General features: G+C 36.4%; 1 protein-coding gene across 6 annotated transcripts in view; it reads right to left on the bottom strand.

Annotated features, from left to right (window-relative positions):
* The window catches only part of ARFIP1 (ARF interacting protein 1), a 132,404-nt gene that overhangs the window by 24,474 nt on the left and 95,840 nt on the right, over positions 1–12,090 (bottom strand). For all 6 annotated transcript variants that reach the window (NM_001287432.2, NM_001025595.3, NM_001025593.3 and 3 more), the window contains 2 exons: positions 6,700–6,921; positions 5,004–5,161 (listed from right to left, as the gene is read on the bottom strand). In NM_001287432.2, coding sequence (NP_001274361.1) covers positions 5,004–5,161; positions 6,700–6,921 — 380 coding nt within the window. The remainder of the gene's footprint in view (positions 1–5,003; positions 5,162–6,699; positions 6,922–12,090) is intronic.

Raw genomic sequence — 12,090 nt, 5'->3', positions numbered from 1 at the left:
TTTCCAAAATCTAAAAACCAGTTAAAAAAAATAAATGTCAAAACAAGATCAAGGGTAGAATAAATACCCCAAGTGAATTGCTTAGTACTGATTAGGCAAAGCAGGTAAGGACAGCAGACTCTAGAATGGCATACTAAAACTAACGGAAGTGTAAATGGTTCTGAAAAAAGTCTGGGTTAGCAATGCACAACAAAAATGTAATGTGAGTAACACATGTAATTTAAAATTTTCTAGTAGTTACAATGAAATAATAATTAATTTCACCTGTTATCAATATATTTCATTTTACCCAATATATCTAAAATATTAATCATTGTGGCATGTAATCAATGTAACAGAATTATTCATAGGTACTTTACATTTGGAGAGTGGGTAGTGAGTCTTTGAAATCCACTGTGTATTTTACACTTCTATCCCATCTCAATTCAGACTAGCCACATTTCAAGTGCTCACCAGACATGTGTGGCTACTATACTTGACAACACAACTCTAGATGAATTTCTGTAACATCAGTATTCAGAATGTAACAACAGTATCTATTGTAGAGCACTTACCATCCTGTGTTCTGTAAGATGCCTCACTCTGATATTCTCCCCCCATCAACTCAAATAGTTACCCCACCACTGTCATCACTCCAAGATCCCATAACTCCTCATAATAGCTCTATCACAGTGCCTGTCTAAGTATAGTACTATCTTGCTTATTAAACAGTGATTTATCCAGCAGCTTCAACTATTCGGTACTCAGCAAAGAAGAAGCAAAGTGACCTCTAATTTAGTCAAGATCAGAATCACAAAGCTTATACCCTAAAACTAAAGCTCTTTATTTGGAGATATTAGGTGTATAATTCACATCTCCTATTCTGGGAATTAACAATACTTTAAATAACATAATCTATATTGTATATATGACTTGAGAAAGAATACATCAGTCCTTCACACTGATCCTAATTTATTCTTAACTCATACTGAATTTAGCAGTATGAGTTAAGATTTAATTTAATTGGCCTCTTTCAGGGTCAAAAGAGAACCATTCATTCATTCACTGATACACTGATTCATTCAACAATTCTCAAGTGAGCACTTTCCACGTTCCAGGCACTGTGTTAGAAAGTAGAGCTATAAAGATGAACAGATATGTTTATCCTCAAGAAGCTCGCATTCTAGAGGAAGAGAACCTTGTAAACAATTACAACAAAATGAGATAATAAGAACTACCATAAATGAGGGTAAGGTATAATGGAAATCAAGAGGAATAATTATTTAATTAGATATCTGAAAAGGTATCTCAGACAGAATTAAAATACTATAATTAAAATTTGAAGGATGGTAAAAGCTGGCTAGGTGAATTGGGATACAGAAATCAGTAGGATACTCTGATTCTGAAGAGAATAGCATGGACAAAGGCATAGATTTGTAAGATACAATGACACATTTGGGAATTCGGTATGTCAGAATCTGAAGCTGGAACATGACAATGGAAGGAATTAACATTAGACAGGCAGGCAGGATTGAAAGTAAGCAGCCCTACAGGCCATGTTAAAGTGTTTAAATTTAATCCAGTAGGAGAAGTAATGGGAAGCCACTGAAGAATGTTGATCTGACATAAAAATGACATGATTGTATCAGGATAGAAAGATGACCCTGGTGGTAGTGTAAGAGATGGAGGATAGAATAAATGATTAAAAAATCAGGAGCAAGGAAACCTATTAGAAAACGATGGACATATAAGAAATGAGTCACTGAATCAGGACAAAGGCATTGGAGCTAAGGAGACAAATACAAAAGATTTAGGAGGCAAGACTGACTTGGCAATAATAACTAGTTAGTTAAATCCATGGGTTCAGGAGCCAAGCTGAATGACCTCTCTGCCTTTTGGCTCTATTCTTGAGCTGGTTATTTCATCTCTTTGTGCTCCAGTTTTTCAATCTATAAATGTGAACAAAAATCTCCACAAAAACTTCATATAGATAAAACACACAGGATACCTGGTAATAACTGATACCTTTAGAATGCTTATTATTATGGCCAAATTAGAAGAGGGGTATCTAGAAGCAAGCACACTAAAAACAATAGGAAATAAAAGAGAAAAAAGTAGAACTAAATAAATAGTAATACATGGTGATTTAATCTAAGGACAAATATCCTTCAATAGCCTTGGAGCGCATTTCTAAACAACAGTGATTAACTCAAACATATTCAAAGTTATAATACTGACCTTATATTTCTTAATTTTACATTCAGAGTTTGTAGGTGGTACCAAAGTAAAACTTTCCATAATAGCTTCTCTAACAGTGCTCATTACCACCAAGAAGAGAAGCTCACTAAGTTTTCAAAAAGCAACTTCACTTCAAGGTTGCCCGTCTGAACTGAGTCCGTATCAACAAAGTTAGTGACGGTTACTTTATGGCTTATGTAAAACTTCTAGAGAACAGGTGTCCACATCTGAAAAGTCTCGACCACAATTGACTCCCTTGTTGGTGCTGCTGTGGAGAAGTGTTGAATGGGCTGTTACAAGATTTTCTATACATGAAGCACCAGAGGGCTAGGAAATACTTGTACACAATGCATAATAGGGAGGATTAAAAGGCCACTCGGGCATTTGCCTAAATTACCACTTTTTGCACTGATCAAATAGATGACCCTTGCCCTAAAAGTCAGTAAATTCTGGCTTTGACAGAGAAGGAAATTCAGCTACTGAAAAACTTTTAACCTTGGATTCTTTTTGACTATTATCCATCAGTAGGCAAGGTTTTAGTGTTAACAACTAGCCAATTCCACAGCTATTTCATAAACAACAGAAAAGTCAAACCCCAAGCTAAGCTTAATGAATAAGATCATACATTGTAATTTGAATAAAAAAGGATAAATTACGGGATGACATAAAACAAAAACAACATTACTGTTGTTGTTTTTTAAAGTACACACAGAGGCTGTGTAAGGGTTTCCCTTAAGAAACCAGCCACCAAGTACATGTAACTTGATTTATAATTTTGTTCAAAAGTTCCAAATGAACCTATATACTGTATTTTATAATCTGAGATCTTATACCACATTATACTTAGGGCACTAATACTCAGGTATAAGGCCTACTGATAAAATGTGAACCATAGAGAACCAATGGGTTCTTATTTTGCCTTTGAAATTGACTACAAGTGAGCAAACCATTTAACCTCTAGAGTGTTTTCTCCTCTACAAATTAATTATAAACTGTTTAGAAATAAAAGCTGAAGGGAAAGAGATTATTATTAACGAAAATATATTTCAGGATAGGTAGACAATTGCAAAGTAGAGAAACTAGATTCACAAAGTTCTCAACTAGGAGGTGGTGGGGGTATTTTTGGAAGAAAACAATATCCATCTTTAAAACCCATACATGTTAAAACAATCAGAAGGACTAGAAAATATGAATATTTAAAATGATTAGAGATAAAAGAAACAGTACCATTATGAACAAATTAGGACATTATGAACAAGGAACAGAAAAATTTAGAAAAGGATCAAGTAAAACTTATATAAATGAATTTTAAAATTCATATACATAATGAACCCTTTGAAAAATATAATTTCCATGAAAGGATTTACACTGAGACTGAAACACCAATTACTGAGAATGTTATTGAAGAGATTTCCACGGAAGGCTATCTTACTAACAGCTATCCTCACCCTTACCCCTCCATACAACCACAGCTGTTTGACCTTCATTTTCAAGTCAATAAGAATCTCATACTTTAATACTAAATGGAAAATGACAAAATAAACATGGTATGGGACAGAAGCATCTCTTCCTGTGAAAACATCAAAAATTAACTTTTCAAAATGATTTGGGCTTTTACTTAATTGAAGTGTAAGGAAATATATATTTAATAAGCACTCAATTGCAAAAATACTAGATGAGTTTGGAGTTTTTTACAGGTATTTCTCATACCATTAAACTAGGATAAGAGGCCAAAGAGTAAAGTTATCCTTCTAAAAGGTAAAGTTTATCTTCAACTATGCATAAAAAGTATAATGGAAAATAAGAATTTTGAGTGCTCAAAAGAAAAAAACCTCAAAAGGGACTAGAATGATACTTAAATAAAAGGGGTAGGGCATATGGGGAAAAAATTGGGCCTGGAATCAAAAGGTGAAAAAGGCTATTATAGGTCTGCCATATTTTAGACCCTTCAAAATATTTATTAATATATTTATTAATATATATTTTGTTCACCATTTAACAGGATAGTTATGAGACAGGGAAACTGTATATATACATATATATATGAATATGGATATACAAAAACCCATTAAAATAGGATGTATAAAAACACTGCATTATGAACAGTTATCAAAATACAAGTCAAATATTTAATTTATATAAAAGGTAAAATTTGAAAGGGTTTGAAGGCTTGTTATAATCTGGATAAATGGAAGATGACTGATATCCTAACAAACAAAAATCATGGAGGCAAAATGAGCTTATTTATTCAATAGAAACTGAAAGTATGGGTCTGGCTATTGTGGAAGCAGTGGTAATAAGGATGAAAGGTAAATTTAGGCGAGAGTATAGAGGACCATGTAATACCTACCTGGTAGAACATAGGGCCCTGTCCTCTTCTAAAGAAGCCAGAGCTGGGAGATCCTCCATTTCCCTACTCACTAGAAGGCAGGGTTTGGGCACATGACCAAGGCTCAATTAGATAATCTCAAGGCAATGAAGCAAGTATTCATGGGTATTTAGGAAATTATTTATGGTAGCTGTGGCAGCATCAAGTACTAGAGGCACCCAGCATAGGGGTTCTAATTAGATTCTTCTGAGGCTTAACTTGGCTTTGGTTCTTGGTTGTTTCCAGAATCTTGTTCTCTCCCTTTCTGCCAGGTCTGTAGAGGCATCCTATAACTTTCCAGTACATTTTTTTCCTGCCCATATTGGCCAGAGTTGGTTTCTGTTGTTTGTAACCAAAAAATTAACTGAATTATATGCCATCTGTAAAACAGACAACACAGTGAAAATGTATACCTTACCTGGCACTTTCATACTGTTTCACAGTCATTAATGTATCTTCAATGGTTTTATTCACCAAAGTGTTCACACTAGCAATGAAAAAATTAATGGCCCCAAGAAGAGTCTCTCCATTTTTAGCCAGCAGTTTCTGGGTATCGGCATTATAGCCAAATTCTTCCTAAAACAAAGAAGTCACCTTAATTTATTCAGTAATAAATCAGTAAAAGTGACTTAAAAATCTCAAGCACGTCACTAATGGGAAAATATGTGATTTAGATAGAGATCTAGCTGTAGCAGTTTTACTTTTCCTTTCCGTCTTTAAGAATCGAAATCACAGCTAGCCATATAATTACTGAAAAAGTCTAATAAACCAAAATTGTCATCAGCTCAGATACATACCTAAAAGCTAAATAATTTTTTTAAGTTACTTTGTAGTAGAAACAATATTTTCATTTCTACATTTTGTTTCTATTATACTATAAGCACAGCTGTTGGAAAGAAAAATAGAGCAGATTATTAATCAGAGAAACTATAACTTTCACAGCCAAATTAGGTAATAATTGGTTAAAACTTTCAGACATAAAACAAAGTGCATTTTTTTTGTGTTTTGACTGATTCTCCTCAAAGTATAAATATTAACAATACATATTTCTTTGTAAACTTGGTGACTAGCTGACTCCCAAGCTCAGCTCTATTTAGGCACACAACTGAGGAAGGATCACTCAACACCAGCTTTAGTTCATTCTTTTTGAATAAACTGCATCTTGGTGCAGTAAACATTACACATGACTCCTTCAGATATGGCAAGAACTAACTCTAGCTCTGTATATTCAGCAGTGAAAGCTTTCCAGTGCAAGTTTTACTAATTAACAGATTAATCAGGATGCACCTAACCAAATAAAAAACCGATCACATATTCTAAGATGTATCATTTAATTTGATAATTCTCCAGTTTGTTACAAAACACTTTTCAATTTCAGTTGAAACAAATAATGTAATATTAAATTAACTAAAATATTAGAAGATACAAATTTAATGCTATTGCAATAGCTGTAATTACGTTTCTTAGGTGACAAAGTATTCAATAATTCAGAAAATAGCAGGAAAGTAAAATTATCCTTATTATGCTAAAACCATTTTCCATTTAAGAGATGTCCATGTAACTCCACTCTGTACTCAGTCTTCAAAATATTATAGACCTTGATTTGTTGCAAATATTGGCAGATAAAGGACCACATAAAAAGATTACCAATCAATGCATGTAAAAACTAAAATGAAAAGCAGGACAGCTTAAGATTTTTGGCACCAAATTTCCACAAGCTAAGTTACACACTTCACTGAAGTCTACATAAATGTTACTGGAAATAGAATAATACAGAAAACAACATTTTTACAACTTTTAGAAAAAGTTAACAGAACATATTACAACAGTAACCCTTGATATTGATTAAGGAGTAAAAGGCAAAATAAAATATTAACAAACAGGAAGAAAAATATGAAAGATTTATATACATATGATAATTCATAAAAAGTAAAGTTAACAGAAGTCATATCACTTTAAGAGGGCCTTCTTAAAGTGATATGAAATATCTTAAAAGAGAATCTCAGAATTCCATCTTCATTAAGAGTTCAGCAAATCACAATAACAAATTACCTCTTAGAATACTTCTATTATCATTTTCTCCCATCCCTAATAGTTATTTAGAATAATCTTACATGAAGTTCTAGTGACTTCAAACTCAGGTCAGCAAATGCATCTCCAAGTTGCCTTTGGGTATGTACCATCTGGAAAAGCTGGGTCGACAATGTTTGAGCCAGTTTTAAAATATTTTCATATTTTTTCTTGTTATCCCTTAATATATCAATCTGAGCTTCAAGTTCAAGGTCCACAGTTCTTGAGCCACGGCCTAGCTTCTCAGAGATAATCTGTCGAGTACACTAAAAGTGGAAGATGCATTTTGTTTAGAAAGAAAAAACAAAACAAAATATAAATGCTAGAGCATATGGCATACACCATTTTTTGGATTCAAACAAGCTAGCGTAACAAACTGAAAATTGTCAGCTCCCTTACTTGATCAGGACTCAGAAAGTAAATTCACCAGATGTGTCTAATAATTATTACTAATCAAAGGAAGTTTTAAGACATATCTAGCAAACTTATATACTGCCATAAGAACTCTCTCACATAATTATTTTGCAAGTTTAGTACATTTGGGTAGATTATCTAAAACAGAGATATTTGGCATTAAGACTAATATAGACTGTTAATATAGGAATAATAAGAACACCAAAATACTACTCTCCTACTGCTTTCAAATGCTCTTTTACTTCTATCTTCCCCCTTAAATGACTTGTATATATATATGTGTGTATGAATGAGGAATAAAGAAAGAAGAAACAGGAAGGAAGGAATGAAAGCGGGGGGGAAGAGGAAGAGAGAGAAACTACTAAGTTACTTTTACTCACACAGTGTGGTATTATATGATGTTATGTTATTGTATTCTGCCCCAGAAATAATAATACAGAAACCTATAATTTTTTTTTTTTTTTGTCTGAGATGGAGTCTCTCTCTATTGCCCAGGCTGGATGAAGTGCAGTGGTCCAATCTCGGCTCACTGCAACCTCCACCTCCCAGGTTCAAGTGATTCTCATGTCTCGGCCTCCTAAGTAGCTGAGATTACAGGCGTGCGCCACCAAGCCCAGCTAATTTTTTGTATTTTTAGTAGAGATGGGGTTTTGCCATGTTGGCTAGGCTGGTCTCAAACTCCTGGGCTCAACTGATCAACCTGCCTTGGCCTCCCAAAGTGCTGGGATTACAGGCGTGAGCCGTTGTGCTCAGCCTAGAAACCTGTAATTTTTAAAAAGTATCTAATTTCAAAGCACATGGAAATAAGTTTCCTAGTATTAATGTTTTACTCTCAACTTCATTCGATAATACATTTTAAGAATAACTGGGGCATTAATATATACCTCATCATTAAATGTTATCAGAAATATTCTTAAAAAGTAGTAAATAAGTACTACAATTTTTTGTTTTGTTTTGTTTTGTTTGAGATGGAGTTTTGCTCCTGTTGCCCAGGCTGGAGTGCAATGGTGCAGCCTCAGCTCACCACAATCTCCACCTCCCGGGTTCAAGCGATTCTTCTGCCTCAGCCTCCCGAGTAGCTGGGATTAGAGGCATGCGACACCACACGTGGCTAATTTTGTATTTTTAATAGAGACGGGGTTTCTCCATGTTGGTCAGGCTGGTCTCGAACTCCTGACCTCAAGTGATCTGCCCGTCTTGGCCTCCCAAAGTGCTGGGATTACAGGCATAAGCCACCGCACCTGGCCAGTACTACAATTTTTAAAACTTGCTCTTTATCATGTTCTTCAAAGTTCTGGTTACAGAATTAATGTCTGTGGTAAAAATTAAAATAATGCATGAAATAAGAGGTGAATTTCCTCTTCCTTTAATCACACTGAATAGTAGAAAACTACTATTAACAGTCTGATAGGTATACTAGACTTTCCTTCAAACATATACAATCTCAGATATTTTTAGAGTAAACATGAGATTATGCTATATATAATATCCTGAATATTTCTTTTCTATGAACAAAATAATCTGAGACTTTTTCTTGTCAATATACACAAATCTGCTTATATATTTTTCTACTTCCCAACACATTTTCTATTCTCATCAACTAAGGAGCCTTATAAACTTTTTTTTTTTTTAACAAAAGAGTGTTATTTTTTAAAAGTAGAGAAATCCTTAATCACAAATAACAGGACGGGTGAGAGATCAAAACCACGGAAGGGGATAAAGTATTACTGTGGAAAACGTACAAACACTCCTAGAAAATGAAAATCACAAGAGAAACTTGAACTGAAGATGTGATTTTAACAAGAAAACCATCAGCAAGAAATAATGCCAGAAATTTTAACAAGATAAAGGAGATAGATACATCACTTATTCCCATATTTTTCTTCCACACCAGGGTTTTCCCTATGCAATATTATCAGAGACATTTACTCTATTCAAAAGCCAAAGCATGTGGTACTGTCACAACAGCCTAGATATAATAATCCATTAAGTCAGAATTCATTGAAGAAGGATTGTTTCTTAGCACAGTGAGAGAAATGTACTCACTGCTGTCTGAGTGGCCTTTTTTTCCCCCACAGAAATAACGGTTACAAGCAGGCATAGAGGTGAAGAATTAATGAGGAAATGTTTTTTGTTTCCAGGAAGCCAAAGCAGTGGGAAGAGTAAGATGATACTGATTATAAGGCAAATTAAGATAAACTGGACACTTGAAAGAAGTTGTAAAACTAGATTCACATATATTCCAATCTGATAAATCTACACTTTTCAGCAAAACCTAAAGAATCTGGAAATGAGAGTACTACAGATTTCCTACAGGAAGCTTTGTAAAGGAAGTTGTAGTGAGAAGATATAAAGTTGCCACCAATTTCCCAACTCATCAGGGTCCTAGAGGAAGTGTCTTAGATGATCTCTACAGTGGATTTTTATTTAAATTGCTTTCCAGTATATACTGAAATAAAATGTAATATTGGAGATCAGTATATATTATAAAGCAAGTTCAAAATGGAAGAGAATTAACAATCTAAATTATTTAACCTTCCTCAGAGTCCCTGAAAATGGAGATCACTTACAATGAGCTGGTGGTCCTATTCAGTTTTCCATATAAATGAAAAATTCATTTTGAAGAACAGGACAAATGATGCTAAATTCAAGAGGCAAAAGGAAGCTAAAGTAAATTACTGACCTATGTAGATTCTCTACTTGGGAAAGGGTGGGTGAAATACAGTGATAGTGTACAAAATACCATGAATCAGCATTATACTGGTTTATGAATTTATGCAACAGTCAACTGTGTACTCTGAGTATTTAAGTAGTGTATTAGTCCATTTTCATGCTGCTGATAAAGACATACCTGAGACTGGGAATAAAAATATGTTTAATTGGACTTAGAGTTCCACATGGCTGGGAGGCCTCAGAATCATAGCGGGAGGCAAAAGGCACTTCTTACATGGTGGTGGCAAGAGAAAATAAGAAAGAAGCAAAATCGGAAACCCCTGATAAACCTATCAGATCTTGTGAGACTGATTCACCATCACAAGAATAGCACAGACAAGACCGGCCCCCATGATTCAATTACCTCTCCCTGGGTCCCTCCCACAACACATGGCAATTCTGGGAGATACAACTCAAGTTGAGATTTGGGTGAGGACACAACCAAACCATATCATTCCACCCCTGGCCCCTTCAAATCTCATGTCCATACACTTCAAAACCAACCATGCCTTCCCAACAGTCCCCCAAAGTCTTAACTCATTTCAGCCAAAGTCTTAACCCAAAAGTCCACAGTCCAAAGTCTCATCTGAGATGCGTGTGAGTCTGTAAAAATCAAAAGCAAGCTAGTTACTTCCTAGATACAATGGGGGTACAGGTATTGGGTAAATATAGCCATTCCAAATGGGAGAAATTGGCCAAAACAAAGGGGTTATAGGGCCCATGTAGTCCAAAATCCATCAGGGCAGTCAAATTTTAAAGCTCCAAAATGATCTCCAGGTCTCACATCCAGGTCATGCTGATGCAGGAGGTGGGTTCCCATGGTCTTGGGCAGCTCCACCCCTGTGCCTTTTCAGGGTACAGCCTTCCTCCCAGCTGCTCTCATGGGCTGGCGTTGAATGTCTGAGGCTTTTCCACGTACACGGTGCAAGCTATCGGTGGATCTACCATTCAGGGGTCTGCAGGATGGTGGCCCTCTTCTCATAGCTCCACTAGGAGGTGCCCCAGTAGGGACTCTGTGTGGGGGGCTCTGATCGCACGATTCCCTTCTGTACTGCCCTAGCAGAGGTTCTCCATGAGGGCCCCACCCCTGTAGCAAACTTCTGCCTGGGCACCCAGGCATTTCCATATCTCTTCTGAAATCTAGGCAGAGGTTCCCAAACCTCAATTCCTGACTTCTGTGCACCCACAGGCTCAACATCATGTGAAAGCTGCCAAGGCTTGGGGCTTCCACCCTCTGAAGCCACAGCCCAAGCTCTACATTGGCCCCTTTCAGCCATGGCTGGAGCGGCTAGGACACAGGGCATTAAGTCCCTAGGCTGCATACAGCACAGGGACCCTGGGCCTGGCCCACAAAACCACATTTTCCTCCTGGGCCTCCAGGCCTGTGATGGAAGGGGCTGCCGTGAAGATTTCTGACATGGCCTGAAGACATTTTCCCCATCATCTTGGCAATTAACATTAGGATCCTTGCTACTTATGCAAATTTCTGCAGCTGGCCTGAATTTCTCCCCCAAAATGGGTTTTTCTTTTCTATCGCATAGTCAGGCTGCAAATTCTCCAAACTTTTATGCTCTGCTTCCCTTATAAAACTGAATGCCTTTAACAGTACCCAAGTCACCACTTGAATGCTTTGCTGCTTAGAAATTTCTTCTGCCAGATACCCTAAATCATCTCTCTCAGGTTCAAAGTTCCACAAATCTCTAGGGTAGGGGCAAAATGCCGCCAGTCTCTTTGCTAAAACATAACAGGAGTCACCTTTGCTCCAGTTCCCAATAAGTTATTCAGCCTGGATTTTATTGTCCATATCGCTATTAGCATTTTGGGCAGAGCCATTTAACAAATCTCTAGGAAGTTCCAAACATTCCCACATTTTCCTGTCTTCTTCTGAGCCCTTCAAACTGTTCCAATCTCTGCTTGTTACCCAGTTCCACAGTCGCTTCCACATTTTTGGGTATCTTTTCAGCAACAACCCATTCCTGGTACCAATTTACTGTATTAGTTGGTTTTCACACTGCTGATAAAGACAGACCCGAGACTGGGAATAAAAAGAGGTTTAACTGGACTTACAGTTCCACATGGCTGGGGAGGCCTCAGAATCATGGCAGGAGGCGAAAGGTACTTCTTATATGGTGGCAGCAAGAGAAAATGAGAAAGAAGCAAAAGCAGAAACCCCTGATAAACCCACCAGATCTTGTGAGACTTATTCACTATCACGAGAATAGCATGGGAAAGACCGGCTCCCATGATTCAATTACCTCCCCTTAGGTCCCTCCCACAACTCATGGGAATTCTAGGAGATACAACTGGAG

The sequence above is a fragment of the Homo sapiens genome, chromosome 4 (assembly GCF_000001405.40).
Source record: "Homo sapiens chromosome 4, GRCh38.p14 Primary Assembly".
Taxonomy (NCBI): Eukaryota; Metazoa; Chordata; class Mammalia; order Primates; family Hominidae; genus Homo; species Homo sapiens.
Note: the sequence above shows the minus strand (reverse complement) of the source record. Positions and strands in the feature narration are given on the sequence as shown.